This window comes from Homo sapiens, chromosome 1 (genome assembly GCF_000001405.40).
Source record: "Homo sapiens chromosome 1, GRCh38.p14 Primary Assembly".
NCBI lineage: Eukaryota > Metazoa > Chordata > Mammalia > Primates > Hominidae > Homo > Homo sapiens.
Window position 1 is genome coordinate 114,878,538 of NC_000001.11, and position 18,075 is coordinate 114,896,612.

The window sequence follows — 18,075 nt, forward strand, 5'->3', positions numbered from 1 at the left end:
TTAATAATATTATTTTTGTTTTTTGAGATGGAGTCTCACTGTATCACCCAGGCTGGAGTGCAGTGGCACAATCTTGGCTCACTGCAACCTCTGCCTCCCGAGTTCAAGCGATTCTCCTGCCTGAGCCTCCCTAGTAGCTGGGACTATAGGTGTGTACCACCACGCCTGGCTAATTTTTGTATTTTCCTAGAGACGGGTTTTCGCCTTGTTGGCCAGGCTGATTTCGAACTCCTGACCTCAGGTGGTCCACCCGCCTCAGCCTCCCAAAGTTCTGGGATTACGGGCGTGAGCCACTGCGCCTAGCAAAAATTATTTTTTGAATGAACAAATCATATGGGAGCATGATGGAGAGAGTTACTAATTTTTCCCAGAGAGAGACCTTTAGAAAGGCATTAGGGAAAAACTGTTGAACTGTTTAAAAGTTTACTAGACAGTGAACTGGAGTAGACAATACAGGTGGAATAAACGGCTTGTGCAAGTCATGGAAGTAGGAATGTTAGGGTATATTTTTAGTAAACTGACTGGTGTGGCAACATCTTATTGAACTCAGACAGATGAAATTGTAAAAGATTTGGATCCCTTTATGAAGGATCCTGAGTGTTATGTCATGTTTAGACTGTCTTATTAGGGAATATTTTTCAAACTTTTTTAAACGGCAGGACACTTAGAAGGCATAGTGTTTGTGAAACACCATGCACCTTCCAGAACATTATAGGGATATTATGGCATTTGTTGTTTTTCTATTCTTCAGAACATTCTCTTGTCTTCACATGGCAAATAATTATCTGGTTTCTGCCAATCTATACCTGCTAATTTCATCTTACTGTCATTACTATATGATATACTCCAGATATATTGAAATAATTTAACTTCATCTATATTTTGTGCTCTTTCAATCCCACCCCATGCTTTTGGCTACTTCCTGTACTCAAAATGAATCTCTTCTCTCCACCCCAAGTCTGTTGGCTAAATTCTTAGTAAGGGCATAAACATTACCTGTTTGTCCCCTGTGACTAGGAGTGTATTGAGGAGGGATTGGGTCTTAAATATCTTTGTAACTGTAGTGCCCAGTATATGGTTTTGCACATAATATGAGTTCAATAGTTGGATGAATGAAATAATATTTAATCTTATCATATAAACTGAAAAAATTAATAAATAACTGTAATTCTATATGATTCCTGTAGACTCATACCCACTGAAGTGTGTTCATTTAAGTGACTTTTCATTGTTTTCCATAAGTATGTATCTTCCACTTGTTTTTCTCTGTGTTCAGTGTGGATATTTTTTACTGATCTGTTATCTAATCCTGGCTGTGATGTGTCTAATTTGCTTTAAATCTATCTACTGAATTCTTAACTTTAAATGAATCATGTATTTTTCATTTTGAAGTTTCCATTTGATTACTTAAGAGTCCAATTCTGTGGTTAAGTTTTCTCCTCTTTTAAAAATCTCATTTTTCACCTCTTAAATATATATTCGTCATTGATATTTTATAGCTATTCTCTGTTTATTTCAATATATGTCTCATCTGTTGGTTTATTTCTATCGTTTCTTTTTTAAAACTATGGTAAAATACTTGTAACATAAAATTTACCACCTTAATCATATTTAAGTGTCCAGTTCTATAGCATTAAGTATGTTCACATTGTTATGCAACCATAACCACCATCTTTCTTCTCCAAGAACTCACCATCCAAGAACTCTTTTCATCTTGCAAAATGGAAACTCTGTACCCATTAAAAAATAACATCCCATTCCCTTCTTCCTGCAGCTTCTGGCAACCACTATTTGATTTTCTTTCTTTTTACTTTTTCTTTTTTATTTTGCTGTTTGGGCATTTGTTGTTATCCTTTGGTGTGCCCTGTAATTTTTAAAATTAAATCCTGTGCATTGTAATAAGAAAAATCTTGGAGCTTCCCGATGATGTTGTCTTTTCTCTGCTGGAGAGAAATTGGGGGTATGTTGGGCTGATTATCTGATTCCAGTTAGAGACTGAGCTAAATGAAAGGAAACTGGCCAAGTATATAAGGTTTTTCAGGTTTTCAATTTTGTTTCTTCAGCTCTTTGAGACCTCTCAAAAGTAAGCTGGCTTTTCTGTACCTTAGCAACAGGCCTCTGCCTGGGTTAAGACAGCATCTTAGTCTTTTGCTTATGCCCAGATCGGCAGATGTCAGTTGTACTTTATCAGTTCACTTTCAGCAGTTTTCTTTTAAGAATCTTAGCCCGTTTAGTCCTTTTATGTCATTTTGTCTTTTCTGGTTGTTTCCAGCGTGAGAGTTGGTATGCTACTAACTACTCCACCCTCCCTAGAAATATTCATTTAAATTAATTATGATCAACTAATTTTTGTTTTCCTTTTTAATGTTTGCTTGTTATTGCCTAATTTATTTTGTCACTTGCTAATAATAGTTGGTTCTTAAAGAGTATTAATTATCAAAAATTTAAGTAGATAACAATTAGATTTTACATGATTTCATTATTTCTTATGGCTGAACAGTATTCCAATTTGTGTATATACACACACACACACACACACACACACACACACACACACATTTCTTTATCCAGTCATCTGTTGATGAACACTGGTTGATTCCATATTGCTATTGTGAATAGTGCTACAATATGTGTATTTTAGTTCTATAGATGGAACATTATTATTACTGTTTTGTACAGACAATATTTATTTCGTTTTACCCATGTATTTTTTTCAATTTCTTTGCTCTTTTTTTTGGTATCTTAAACTTTTCATTCAGACCATTTTCTTTCTGTTTTGAAGAGGAATATTTAGAATCTCCTTTAGTGAGAATATGTTTGTGATTAGCTGTCATAGATTCCATTTGTCTGAAAATTTGTTTATTCATTCTCATCCATAAAGGATATGTTTGCATGATATGTCTTTCTAGGTTGGCACACTGTACATTATTTCTAGACATTTCTTTTAGCACATGGAAGGTATTATCCTTCCTTCCTTCCTTCCTTCCTTCCTTCCTTCCTTCCTTTCTTGATGGAGTCTCGCTCTGTTGCCCAGGCTGGAGTGCAGTGGCACAATCATGCCCTCAAGTGATCCTCCCAACCCAGCCTCCTGAGTAGCTGGGATACAGGCAGATGCCACCACACCTGGCTAATTTTAACATTTTTTGTAGAGACAGGGTTTCACTGTGTTGCTCAGGATGGTCTCAAACTCCTGGGCTCTAGCGATCCTCCTGCCTTGGCTTCCCAAAGTCCTGGGATTACAGATGTGAACCACCACGCCTGGCTTACTTTGTTGATTTTAAGAAGTCAGTAATATCTTTTCCCTCTCTTATGGGTTTTCAGATTTTCTTCATCTTCGATTTTTAGCATTTACAGTATAATATGTTAACTCATACGCTTAGTTTTGTTTAATAGCTTCTTCAATCTGTAAATTACTGTCTGTTACTATTGTTTCTTGGAAATTCTCAACAATAATCTCTTCAGATATTGTATTTGCTCTACTTTCTGTTTCCTCATTTTCTGAGTAAGAAAAAAACGTGGAAAAAACCCGTGTTGCATCTTGGGAGGCTGAGGTGGAAGGATCACTTGAGCCCAGGAGTTCGAGGTTACAGTGAGCTATGATTGCTCCATTGCACTCCAACCTGGGTGGCAGAGTGAGACCCTGTCTCAAAACAAACAAACAAACAAACAAACAAACAAACCAAACAAAACCAAACCCGAAACCAAAATAAAAACCTTCATTAATTTTCTAACTCTTCTTTGACTCTTAATCTCTTTTTTCTATTTCAACAGTTTTGCCTTTCTATACCTTATCCTAATTTCTTTTTACCTGTATTGTAATTCACTAATTTTCTTCTCTTTTATTTCTCACACATCATGAAATTCCTCCATTTTATTTTTAGTTACTAAGATGTTTATTTTAAGATGTTATTCTTCTTTTTCTAACCTGCCATTCTACTTTATCTAGTTTTCAGTTTCTTCTTATTTTCGAGGTTGTCTTTTCTTTAAATATACAAACCATAGCTGTTTTATAGTCCTTTTCTGATTTTTTTATTTTAAATGTTTGTGATTCTCTTTCTGTCTTGTTTATGATAGTTTTTAGTCAAAGTACCTTGTTTGCTTGTGTGCCTTATTGTTTTTGACTTTATGCTCATTTTTTTTACTTGAAAAAAAAGATTACTTGTAGGAATAAGTTAAGGCCTGCTTAACATCCACCTGGAAGGATTTGCTTTTTTTCCCCCCATGCACATGATATTTCTATCCATTTGGGACAACCTTAAGGCAGCTTGAACGCTTGGGGTGTCCTGAACTACGCAGGTGATTTGAACCTGGGCTGCAAATCTGCCTGTGAGTTGGTTTACTTTTGTTTGCTCCTTACATCAAAACTGTCCCGGCTTATTGTACAAAAGTTTACTTCTTAGACACCCTCTACCTTCTGTAATCTTTGGGTTTTCATATATCTTAAATTCTCTATCCCATCATATTTCAAACCAAAAGTCCAACTTTGCCAGGGTCTGCAAATGCCCTCTGGGCACAAGCAAGTTTTGTGGTTACCTTACTTCTATAGGTTTCTATTTTCTCTTCATTTTTGGCCTGGCAAATTCCTATTTTTGTCAGGAGCTTAATGCTTTAATATTCTTAATATTTGATCTTGAATTTTTATTCCCTTTTACAGAAGTGTTTAAATGACAAAGCTCATCATTATCGCTTTGGAGTTTTCAGTTTCAATTTTATGTATTACTTCTAGTAGTTTTATTGATTTACTGATATCTTCCTTTAGTTTACAAAGTATGTGATAATACTTATTTTTAAATTTCATAGCCAATAATTCTAAAATATGAAATCTTTGTAGATCTAAGTTGGCCTTTTGTTCATTTTGCTGACTCTGTTCATGGTGCTTTGTTTCCCATTGTGTTTGTTGATTGTGAGGTCATGTAACTTTATTTGTGGAAATTCTTTAAGGCCTGAATTAGCAGTATATTAGGCCTGAAGAAAATTTGCATATTCCATTTTCTAGGCTCCTGGGGAAACTTAGGAGCACTTCAAATTAAATTTTGGCTTGGAGCTCTTTGGAAAATTCTGGCAGTATACATTCCGTTCCGATACATGCCTAAGGGCTAGTTTGTGCTTATGATTTTTCAGAGGAGACATTTATCACCAGACCATAAGAAATAGTATCATAATGGACACCACAATCATTAGTCAACATTTCCCTCACCAGGCTGGAGTGCAGTGGTGCAATCTTGGCTCACTGCAACCTCCGCCTTCCTGGTTCAGGTGATTCTCCTGCCTCAGCCTCCCGAGTAGCTGGGACTACAGGCATGCACCACCATGCCCACCTAATTTTTGTATTTTTAGTAGAGACGGGGTTTCACCATGTTGGCCAGGATGGTCTCGAACTCCTGACCTCATGATCCACCCGCCTCGGCCTCCCAAAGTGCTGGGATTACAGGCATGAACCACCGGGCCTGGCCCAGATTTACTTTTTCTATTTTTTCCCCACAGTCGGACCAATGACCCTTTCATTCTATGTAGTTTTTTCAGAATGGAATTTTAAAAATATAAACTTGGCACGTACTTCTGTTGCTTAACATCCTTTATTGTTTTGCATGGTCTTCATGAATTATGAACCAGAAGACTCTGAGCAAGTTATATAAGTCCTGTTATGATCTTGTCCTTGTTACGTTTCCAATCATATCTCCTGTGACTTATTCGTTATACTTCAAGCCTTATGCTCCTAAAATACATTTTCTCTAGATGCCAGAACGTGTCATTCTATCTCTTCTGTGTTTTCCTTTGTATGTGCTCTTACACTTGCCCGTGACCTTTTCTCTCCTAACTTCCATTACCTTTGCTAATTTAATTCTTACTGTCTTTCAAATGTTTCAACTCAGCTGCTACTTTCTTGAAGTCTTTAAACTTTTTCTGTCTCCCTGTACCTCTAACCTTGACTGATCTTATTTGGCTTAGGTGTCCCCTCTAGGTAAACTCCCAGAACTTCCAGTGAGTACCCATCAGCACAATCATTGTTTATTTGCCTGCCTGACCAATATATTGTAAATTATCATGAATATTAGTGTTCAGTTTCTACCATATATCACCATTATCATCATCTTAATAGCAGTTATCATTTATTGATTATAGATTAGACACTGTGCTTAAGCATTTTAAGTTGCATTATCTTGTTTAATTCTAACAGCAGGTGACTCTTCATAATATGAATAATTATCATTATTCTAACATGCCAGGTGGGAAAAGTAGTCAGACTGGTTAAGTATCATGCCCGAGGCCAGGTAGCTTAGTAAAAGGAAATCGTATAATTTGAATTCAGAGAATATAATGAACTTCTTTTTTCTCCTATTGCTTTTATGATGTTTAAAAATGAGTGCACAAATATAAAACATATAGACTAGTACCTGAGACTTAGTATTTATTAAAAATGGGCTCTTAAGTGGAGTCAAAAGCTTTTATTTATCATTTAATAGAGTATTTTGAAAAATAAAAAAATCAAGATAATCAATAATGAAAATAAAATCGTGAATAATTTTACCATCGGGAGATAAATTACTTTTCATATTTTAGTGTGTATCTTTTCCTTTTGCATGCAGTGTTTAAATATTGTTTTAAACCCACTCTTTTTATTCTATGTTTTATGAATATCCAAATTAATAATCAATAAAATTTGTATTACATTTTCAGTGGCTACATGGTATACCATCCCATATATGTGCCTCCATAATTTGTCTACTTTTGGATATTTAGGTAGTTTCTAATGTTTTGCTATTATAAAAAATGTAAATCCTTAAATATTTATTTTTGAGTTCTTGGGAGATAACAATCTTGAAAAGTCAATAAAGCTTGATGGTGACCAATATTTGTGTGTCTATATTTGCATATTTTCTTCTCATTTTGGACTATTATCTAACGGAGGAAAAAGACTAATTGTCACAAATAATACTTAGTTTTCTTGGTATATATCTTCTGCTAAGTACTATCTATTTATAACTTTCTCTTTTAGAATTACAGAGTGAAAACTTAAAACAATCAATTGAGAAACAGCATCATTTGACTAAAGAACTAGAAGATATTAAAGTGTCATTACAAAGAAGTGTGGTATGATTTAAAAACTCATTAGTGTGTAATAAGTCTCACCCTATCAATCAGTCAACAAATATTTATTAAATACTAATACAATGTACAAGGACCTGGAGTTTCAAATAGTTAGAGAAGACACAATCCTAGTCTGCAAAATGCTATAGTTTAGAGACATTGCATAAAAACACATCAAAAGTATAATTAAAATACAAGACCCTGGACAGGTGACAACAGGGTGGTTTAGGTAATAAATTAATAGTTCTAAGAATTGAAAGAACAGTATGGCTGGTTTGGCTAGGAAGGCTCCATGGAGGAGCTGGAACTATAGGTGGGATTTGGAGAACAGTGAATTGAAATAAGAGTAGTGGGTGGGCATTCCAGGGTAGGAAGGAGGAATAATAGGAAAATATGAGGGTGGGAAAGGGGCAGTGAATGTATAGAAGCAGATAAGTTCAGCTTTTTTGGTTAAGGCCTTTGGATCATTGCTCTTGTTTTATACTTTATTTCATTTAGAGTACTCAAAAGGCTTTAGAGGAAGATTTACAGATAGCAACAAAAACAATTTGTCAGCTAACTGAAGAAAAAGAAACTCAAATGGAAGAATCTAATAAAGCTAGAGCTGCTCATTCGTTTGTGGTTACTGAATTTGAAACTACTGTCTGCAGCTTGGAAGAATTATTGAGAACAGAACAGCAAAGGTAAAATATTTATTATTTTTAATACACAAAATAAGTGAATAAAAACAATTTACTTTTAATATTCAATGCCATTTTCTTTGCATTGCCAACTGATGTGTGTAATTCATATAACAACTGTAGTCAGGTCTCATGTATAAAGTGGGAATACATTTTAAAAGTTTCTTTGGATAGACAGATATCTTAGGAAAAGATGTAAAAGAAGATGTTCTCTAGGATAGTTCTCATGTATGCTTTGCCATAGAATTTAGTTATATACATAAACTCATGAAAGGTTGATGCAGTGATATGATATATTTAATGACTCTGTAGATTATTATTAGCTTCCTAGAAGTAGCTTCCAGGCTGTCAGGTTTATCTTACTGAGGTCTGTAGACCTTTCTGATTTATAAATTTAGCAGCTAGCCTGGCATAGGTAAGTACTACTCTATGTTTATTAAATTAACCAATTAATCAGTATAAATTTAATTAATATAATTAATTATCATTAACTTATTAAATAAATGGTTTCACAAATGTGATTACATAAAAAATAAACTAGTATTTTCATTTCATCTAAATAGCAGTTTTTCTAATGCTTGAGTGTTAAAGACTCTATTTTTTACTACTCTATATTAAGGAAATATTTATATAAAGCTGTGTTAGGAGGCCTAGATAATTATTTTTTGTCTCATTAGCATTAGGGTTAATTAAGTTTGGTAGGATAAAGGAGAACAGGTTTCTCTCTGAAGCCATAGCCGGGGCCTAGCAATAGTTTTTCTCTGTTGCTTGTGCATGGTGAGGGAAAAGCTAGCCTTTCTAGCTCCCCTAATTTATATATTTTTGATTGACCTATCCAGTGATTTTTCATTTTTAAAAAGGTAGGTTACCTAAGATTCCTCTATCCCTATTACCTCAGTTTTATACTTTGAGGAAACAGAAAGCCAGAGAAGTTAACCAAATTATACATGTTCTCATAATTATATTGTTCCTAAGGCAGAATTCAGTATAATAGTAGTTACATACTCAATTTCTTTCAGAGTTCTAGGATGCGTTAATCTGATTATCATCAACAGCTAAGAGAAAACTTATACCATAAGCTTTAAGGTATATCTATGTATATTACATAAATGTAATATAGAATTATGTATTTATAATAGTAATATCTTATTTTAAAATGTTACACTATATGGTGCAGAGTAGGTACTTAATAAATGTTTAACAATCCAGTGGGTGAATCTATTCTAAGATATATCAGTTGCTAAATTGCACCAATTTTAGTTATGAGATGAATTCTGACTAAAATAATATTTTGTATTGAAAATGATATATTTTACAAGATTGGAAAAAAATGAAGATCAATTGAAAATACTTACCATGGAGCTTCAAAAGAAATCAAGTGAGCTGGGTAAGACTTAGAGAATAATGTGTGTACTTTAATAATATTAACTTATTATAGAATCATAAACACTGTTTTGAAATAAAATATAATTTCCCCTCTGTCATTTGCCAGTAGAGATTGCTTGATAATATTTTTATTTCAATATTTGAAGGTAGAAAATTTAAACCTTAAGAAAGAGTGTTTTATTCAGTTTTATTATGCAGTTAATAGATATTTAGAAGTGTGGGGAGCCTAAGAGAGGTCTGAGTCTCCTAACAGAATACAACTAAGAGAAGTTGATATTCTGTTTTCTTTATTTTAGGATTCAGAGACCTTAATAATTCTTCGTGAGAAATGTCTGTTATTGTTTAATTGAATTTTGAAATTTCATTGCTTTGTCATGTTACATTATGTACTATTCACAGGAAAATGTGATCCTATTTTATCATAAGGTGTTATTAAAATTCAACAACTTTCATGGCCACGAGAGAGACATTCTCTACAGTAGTTATTTTATAATTTATGGCCATGTAATTCGATAATTCTAATAACCTATGCTTCATATTCATAACTCTTCATATCTACAAATGTGGAAAATTGCAAAGAATAAAATAGTTTCCAATTTTAGTGAAAAAATATTTTTTATAAATTAAAAATATTCATGAATTGGCAAATATTTTATAAAATATTTTCATTACTTTATGTAAGCTTTATTATTAGATTTAAATAGTTGTATAATTAAAATAATTATCAACTAAAATATTATCTAGTATCGGAAATGTGTGCTTTACATTTCACAAGTAGTTAGGTTGTTTGGTTGAACTTTTGGACCATATTTATCCTTTTTTTCTGTGAGGCTTAATTTTCCACTATAGATTAACCCTTTATCATGTAAAATTGTACTATCAAATGCAAATAATTGTATCTTCTTAGGATAACTTTAAATTAGAATGGTTATAATATAAACCATTCCATTTTTTATTCTTCCTTCGAGCATAAAATAGTGTTTTAAATCATTATATATACCTATACTTACTTTTTAAAAATTATTATTATACTTTAAGTTCTAGGGTACATGTGCACAACGTGTAGGTTTGTTATATAGGTATACATGTGCCACATTGGTTTGCTGCACCCCTCAACTTGTCATTAACATTAGGTATTTTTCCTAATGCTATCCCTCCCCCAGCCCCCCACCCCGCAACAGGTCCTGGTGTGTGAGGTTCCCCTCCCTGTGTCCATGTGTTCTCATTGTTCAACTCCCACTTATGAGTGAGAACATATGGTGTTTGGTTTTCTGTCCTTTTGATATTTTTGCTGAGAATGATGGTTTCCAGCTTCATCCATGTCCTTGCAAAGGACATGAATTCATTCTTTTTTATGGCTGCGTAGTATTCCATGATGTATATGTGCTACATTTTCTTTATCCAGTCTATCATTGATGGACATTTGGGTTGGTTCCAAGTCTTTGCTATTGTGAATAGTGCTGCAGTAAACATATGTGTGCATGTGTCTTTATAGTAGCATGATTTATAATCCTTTGGGTATATACCCAGTAATGGGATTGCTGGGTCAAATGGTATTTCTAGTTCTAGATCCTTGAGGAATCGCCTCACTGTCTTCCACAATGGTTGAACTAATTTACACTCCCAACAGTGTAAAAGCATTCCTATTTCTCCACATCCTCTCCAGCATCTGTTGTTTCCTGACTTTTTAATGATCGCCATTCTAACTGCTGTGAGATGGTATCTCATTGTAGTTTTGATTTTCATTTCTCTGATGACCAGTGATGATGAGCATTTTTTCATATGTCTGTTGGCTGCATAAATGTCTTCTTTTAAGAAGTGTCTGTTCATATCCTCTGCCCACTTTTTGATGGGGTTTTTGTTTTTTTCTTGTAAACTTGTTTAAGCTCTTTGTAGATTCTGGATATTAGCCCTTTGTCAGATGAGTAGATTGCAAAAATTTTCTCCCATTCTGTAGGTTGCCTGTTCACTCTGATGGTAGTTTCTTTTGCTGTGCAGAAGCTCTTTCATTTAATTAGATCCCATTTATCAATTTTGGCTTCTGTTGCCGTTGCTTTTGGTGTTTTAGTTATGAAGTCTTTGCCCATGCCTATGTCCTGAATGGTATTACCTAGGTTTTCTTCCAGGGTTTTTATGGTTTTAGGTCTTACATTTAAGTCTTTAATCCATCTTGAGTTAATTTTTGTATACCTATACTTATTTTCTTTAGAATTGTTTAATTTAATGTCTTAGGCTAAGGAAGAATTTTGTTTCTTAAAATGTCTTTAATGGATATTTATTTGTAATAATTCAGTCTAATATTGAAATTAAGTGGCTATTTGTCATATTAAAAATGCAATTGTATTATATGATTTTCTCACAGTAGAGCAATATATTTTGACAAATTTGAAAAAAGTATTCTAGAATTGTGAAATAGAACCATGTGTGTTTTTTAGCATTGCCTTAGATGTTGTAGGAATGTATAGAAGTAACATACCATCCTTTTGAGAAATCTCTGATTATTGTTGGAGGAAGCTTAAATACATAAAACCCTTAGAGTAATGGTGTCCAAAATGAAGGGGTGAGCAAAATTTCCTTTAGGAAAAGGGAAGAAAATGTTAGAATTTCTATTTTTATTTATTTTTATGTTTTAAATATGTTTTATAATGAACACTGTAATACATATTTATATTTTATAAATTTATATTTATAAACATTAATTTATAACTGATTATACATTTATGTAAATATAAATATGCATTTGTATTTTATACATACTAATATATTTTGGGTGAATGCTCACAGATTTCTTATTGATGGAGGTATGTTAATACTGATACCAAGAGGAAGCCTAAGATAGCAATGTGTACTGCATAGTTGGAAAAGGCTTTATGGAAAAGGTAGATTTAAATTTAAAAGTAGACTTTAAGGCTTTGGATAGTTGTAGAGGATGAAGGAGTGTACAAAACATCATGTGTAGGAAGGTAGCATTAACAGTGACATAGGTACTCAACTTCTTTGGGTGACAATATGGTCTCAAAACCAGAAATCTTGAAGGATATTCTGTACTATTTATTCTCCTTCCCTTATGCTTTACTGCTAATTGGTTATCTGGTGCTCCTTAACACCTAACTCATAAAATATAACTAACTTAGAAGTTCCTCTTAACTATCATTTGAATCTTTTCCTTTTCTTGATTTCCACAGATCTAGAACAGTTCAATTCCTCATTTTCTCTTTCTTGGTTTTAGAGTTTCAGGATGCATGTAAAGAACATAATGGTACAAAAATTGTATTTGTAAGATTAATCATCAAACCGTGCTTCAGATTACCCCCATTTGTCCTAATCTTTATTCATCCCCCCTTGCTATATTTAACTAAGCTTCTGTTTGCTTTGCCTTTCTTTAATAATCTTTTTTCTTACCCCAACAACTCTCATTCTTCTTTGTTTCCTGGCTACACTTTACATTCTTCCTTGATGGTATTTTCTTAGACTTACATCTTGGTTAAAGTGGTCTTCCATCATTTCCTCAGCAGTCTCAATCCTCAAAACACTTTTAACCTATGTACTGCTCAGATATAGCCTGCTCTACTCCTTGTATCTTTTAGGTCAGACGTCTTTGACCAGTGCTATTATAGTTACAATAGCTTGAGAATCAGTCCTTTTCTTTCTAGGATAGCCACCTTTTGCTCATTTTCTACATTGCTGCTAGAGTGTTTCTTTAAAAATACAAATATGATTATTCTATGTGGCAAATTTAAGAGGCATCTCATTGCCTAAGTTCAAACTACTTAGATATCAGTTATCTTTTCATTGTTCATTTAAAGAGTGGGAGTACTGCATACCAAGTGAGTTGAAGTCAACTGCAATAGGAAATCTTTGGCAAGTAATTTTTTCTCAGTTTCTTAACTTGTTACAGTTTTCTTTGCTGCTTCATGCGTTGCCCATCTTCAATTCAGTCTAATATTGCTGTAAATGTGTCTTATTCTTGTACTCATTTTTCCATATCTGGATCTATCTTTGCTTTCAATTTGGTATGTAACAGATTCCCCTCCTAGTAGGTTCTATTGCTTCTGCTTTGATTATCAGATATATAATATAATAACTATTGAACTAAGGCTTAGATGTTTATTCCTTATTTAGCCTTGGATATGTAATGAGGAATGTAACAGACATGGTATTTGTTCTCATGAGGTTTGCACTCTTCTTGGAGAGACATACAAAACAAATAATCACAAATAAATATTTAATTATAAATTGGGATAAGTGCTATGAAGGAAATAAAAATGATGCAATGCGGTGGCTGCAATGGACTGTGTGGGCCAGTCCGCAGGCCTACAGGCAAGCGCATATGGGTGAGTGCCAGCTGTGGTGGTAGTGGCAGGCCTGGCTGACCCTTCATCAGGCACCCAGGAGGAGTGCTTAGGTGCTAATGGTGGTGGATGGGGCAGTGTGATCCCTAGGCTCTTGGACAGTGTACTCAGGCACTTGAGGGAGCAGAGATAGTCCTCGTGGGCCTATCTTCAGGCTTCCCAGTTGTGTTTATAGGTGCTGGCTCTGGTGGGCAGGGGTGGGGTGATTCCTATGCCCCTGATGGAGCACTCAGGTGAGTGCTGCAGCAGTTGTGGTGAGCTGGGAGAGCCTGCCCTTAGAGCATGTGCAAGTGTGCTGCGGCCCTGCTGCCAGGGAGTGTGCGATTGTTGTAGGTGGCAGCAGCTATAGGCAGGCCTCTGAGGAGTGTGCGCTTCAGCCCCAGGCATCAGCTGTCCGTGAGCCTGTACTCAGGGCATGTGACCCCGCTGCTGGGGGCAGTGAGGTTGCTGCTAGTGGTTCTGGCTTCACCTGGTAGCTGGCAGTGGCAGAGGTTGTGGCTGTGAGCAAGGTAGCTTGTCCTTGGGGTGTTTGCAAATGTGTGATGGCCCTTCTGCTGGGGTGACATGGGATTGATGCCATTGGCTTATGCTTTGGCTCCAGCAGCAGCAGCCAGTAGTAGCAGCTGCAGGAGCGGGAGCCTTTTCCTGGCGCACGCACGGGAAGATGTGCTGCAGTCCTGCTGTTGGTAGGGGGCAGGGTTGCTGCCAGTGGGGTGCACTTCAGTCTTGGTAGCAGTAGCCAGCAGTGAGTATTGGCAGGTGGGGGATGTCAGTGGGGCTCCAGGGATATGGAGATGCGGGGGTTTTTGGGCCCCAGAGCAGGATGTAGTCTCCTGGGGGCTGGGCTCTCAAAATGGTACGGGGCTATAGCTGCTTAGAACTCAGAGGGTGGGTGGGACCCAGCATAAATTCCCTCTATGGAGCAATGCCTTTGTGAGATCTCTAGGCAGCTACCTATGTTAATCTCAGGGTCCAAAGGACCCTTCCTTGCCTTAGGTGTTTCCTGACACATCTCTTTTGAATTCCAGTGTTCTTTCTTAGAGGATCTATTTGAAGTGTAATTTATCTACTCACTAATTTAGTTATTCTTTGTGGAGGAGGTGAGTGGGCAGATGCCTCTAGTCAGCCATCTTGAAGCCTTTCTTGTTTTTAAACTTTCGTCTTACATTTTCTACCTCTTTGTTCTTTTTCCTGAATTGGGAGGTATCTCTATCCTATCTCTGTCTGTATCTCTATCTTTATCTGTATCTCCATCTGTATCTGTATCTGTATCTCTATCTCATCTCTATCTTTATCTGTATCTCCATCTGTATCTGTATCTGTATCTCTATCTATCTCATCTCTATCTCTATCTCTCTATCTAAATTTGTTTCTCCCTTGCTAATTCAATCTTTAAATATGTCTGTTTTGCTATTTTCAAAATCTCAGTTGTCAAATTTTAAATTTCTAAGAGCTCTAGGTAATCTATTTCAGGGATCTGGTATCCTGTTGGAACACTATACTTAGTCAAATATCTGTTTCTGTTCACTCTATTAACTCTTTTTCTTTGGGTTTTAGTTTTTTTCACAGTTTAATTTGGAGCTTTCTTTTTCATTGTTTTGCTTTTCTTCACAAATTGTTGGTACCTGATTGTTGACTCTCTAAGTATAAGTATTCTTCTTTTCCCACTTGTGTATTACAATCTAATTCTTCTGATTATGGGAGTGAGTGGGAGTTGCTGTGGGGAAAGGTGGGCATAGCAGCTTGTCTTTTACTATAGGGGATGTTTATCTTGCTTAAGAATAATAAGCTATTTGTAACACTACCTCATCTGCCACCCAAATTCCTAGGATCCTTACTTTATCCTGAGGTGGGCTTTGTGGTGAGAGGTATGGTCACTTGGTCTTGTTCCACATAGCCTTCATTGAATTAGTGTGAGTTGTTTTTTTTTTTTCTCCAAGGATTCGTTAATTTTCTGGTTTGTTAATGATAGTCTCTTATTTTGTTAATGTTGTTCTTTTATATATATTTTTTCTCGTACTTTTTTTTCTAATTTTGTGGGATTGGGGTGAGAGAACATATAGAGACATGCTCAGTCCACTGTCTTTAATCAATTTTTGAGTTTTTAAAAATTAAGTATTTTTACCTGAAATAACACTTTCTAGTTAAATAAGCTATGTATACGCCAGGTTTTTCTTTTGGATTCTATATTGACATTTTATATTTTGTTAATTTTCTTTAAAGACTGTGGACAATTATTACAAGTGTTTTAAAAAATGTACAGAGTTTGAGAAATTTTCAGTAAGTCTATTACATTTCCATTAATCAATAAGGACCCTTAACAGTGAGGAAGGACAATATTTCAGACACAATAAATTTTTAGCTGACAGCTGGACATATTAGGGAACTCTGTAGGCAGTTTCTTTTTTGGTTTAATTTTTTGTGGGCAGGTTAAAAATATAAGAAAGTTGAAAAATGCGGGAGGCTTGGGCTGGAAAGATTTTTCAATTTATTAGCATAATGTTGAACTCATGGAACTGTAGAAAGAAAAACATTGGGCTTTATTTTTTAGGATGGCAAGAAAGAAGGCTGTCAGCAAAGAAAACAAGAACAGGAGGTAGAGAGGAAACAGGACATATGAATAGTGCAAAATCAAAGAGGAAAAAATGGGGAGAAGTTAATAGTATCAAATAGTACAAACCTCCACAATGATGAAGACTTAAGAATTGTATCACAAAATGGTTATTGGTGATCCTTAAGATGACAATTTTATTATTATGGTGATAAGCATTAGTTTTACTTGGAGTTCAAAATGAAATGTGTAGGTAACAAATAGGAATTTGTTGGAAAAACAAACTAAGAAATTTGATAGCTGCTTGAAAGAGCAGAAAGGTCAGATATTGTTTTATAATCAAATAGAATGTTTAGACGAGATAAGGGAAATTAAAGATTCCTCTACATAGAATCTGTGTATATTGGTAGCGTAAGGGCAGAGTCTCAGAGGAGGTGGGAATGTTGAATCCAAAGTACAATGCTCAGAGTTAGCTTGAGAAAAGAGAATCACTTCTTTTAAGTTTGGAGTGAAGATTAAAATGTCAGATGTTTAGACAGTGATGAGTTGAAGGTAAATGTACATTCTGACCTCATTTCAAATATATTTTATATAGATTTATTGCTTATTTTGCTTTATGAACTTTGGGTTATTTGGCAATGGCATTAACTTTAGAGAAACATTACTATTAATATTTATCTTTTATTAGCTTTTCATAGTTAGATTTGGACTCCCTCTATGCTTTACATTGCTCTAGTTGCATTTGTCTCTCCTGATTTTTCCCTTTTGCGTAGTATTATGCTTGTTCCTTCTGTCTCTTTTCCTATTCTTTTAATCCAGCTTTTTAACACATTTTTTTTTTGCTCATTTTAGAAGAGATGACTAAGCTTACAAATAACAAAGAAGTAGAACTTGAAGAATTGAAAAAAGTCTTGGTAAGTATAGTCTTTCCTATTAATATATAGCAATTACTTTTCAGAAGAATATTGAATCCCTTAACTTATAGACTCTCACACTATAGATGTTTTATACTAATTTTTTCAGCTAAAATGTAAAAATTATATTTGGTTTTAAGTAAAGATGCATTTTTTAGACCAATTTTTATATACCTTGTTAACTGTCTTCATCAAGCTGTTTATATCATTTGAATATGTGTTGATAGCACACTAAGATCAAATTTGCATGTTATGTAGCTGATTGTAAATTTGGTAATTTTGGATGTTGTACCCTTTGAACAATAAAGATGCAATTTTGAAAAAGGTGTATGATATATATTCAGTACCTATATTTAATGTTCAGGTAAAATCATGTTTAGTGAAGATGTAGGGTAAAATTTCATTGTATTTTAATTGATTACAGTATATAGAACATGGGTCAGCAAACTGTCTGTAGAGGACTAGATAGTAAATATTTTACAGTTTGTGGGCCATACATGGTCTCTCTTTTCTCCTTCTCTGCCTTTGCCTCCTCTGCCTTCTCTCTTTTATTTTTAAGAACCTTGTAAAAATATAAAAACCATTCCTAGCTTAAGGGTCTAGGAAAACAGACTGCAGGCTGAATTTGTCTTGCATACTGCAGTTTTCTGGCCCCTGATGTAGAATATAATATTGTTTATGATGACTGATAATTGATTTTGTGTTTACCTATCACATCTCTACCTGATTTTGCAGCTCCTAGTTCTTCTGTCCCTTGGGGAGCATTATTTTAAAATATTTTTCTTTTCTCCATTTAATTGCTCCGGGACAAACTCTTTGTAACTAATAATAATGTTTTCAGTGCTTTCAGATTTATTAATGCATACTTATACAAGTCTTAGCTTAAATGTCAGTGCTTTATGAAACCTCTCTTGATACTCTAGGCTAGGTTTAGGTCTTTGTATGGCTTATTTCCATAGCACCCTGAATTTTTCCTTTGTAACACTTATCACAAATGAAATTCATTTATTTTTGGTATTATTATTTAAGGCTTTATTCACCCTTTAGACTCCTTACCTAGCATAGTGGCTGGCACATAGTAGGTGCTCAATAAATAAATAGTG

At 34.7% G+C, this 18,075-nt stretch overlaps 1 protein-coding gene across 12 annotated transcripts in view; it reads left to right on the forward strand.

Moving 5' to 3' along the window:
- SYCP1 (synaptonemal complex protein 1) overlaps window positions 1-18,075 on the forward strand; it is a 141,283-nt gene that overhangs the window by 24,450 nt on the left and 98,758 nt on the right. For all 12 annotated transcript variants that reach the window (NR_104211.2, XM_017002184.2, NM_001282541.2 and 9 more), the window contains 4 exons: window positions 6,998-7,092; window positions 7,588-7,772; window positions 9,089-9,156; window positions 16,911-16,972. Coding sequence is in view for 11 of the 12 variants with exons in the window: in XM_017002184.2 (XP_016857673.1) it covers window positions 6,998-7,092; window positions 7,588-7,772; window positions 9,089-9,156; window positions 16,911-16,972 (410 nt within the window). In the remaining variant the exon portion in view is untranslated. The remainder of the gene's footprint in view (window positions 1-6,997; window positions 7,093-7,587; window positions 7,773-9,088; window positions 9,157-16,910; window positions 16,973-18,075) is intronic.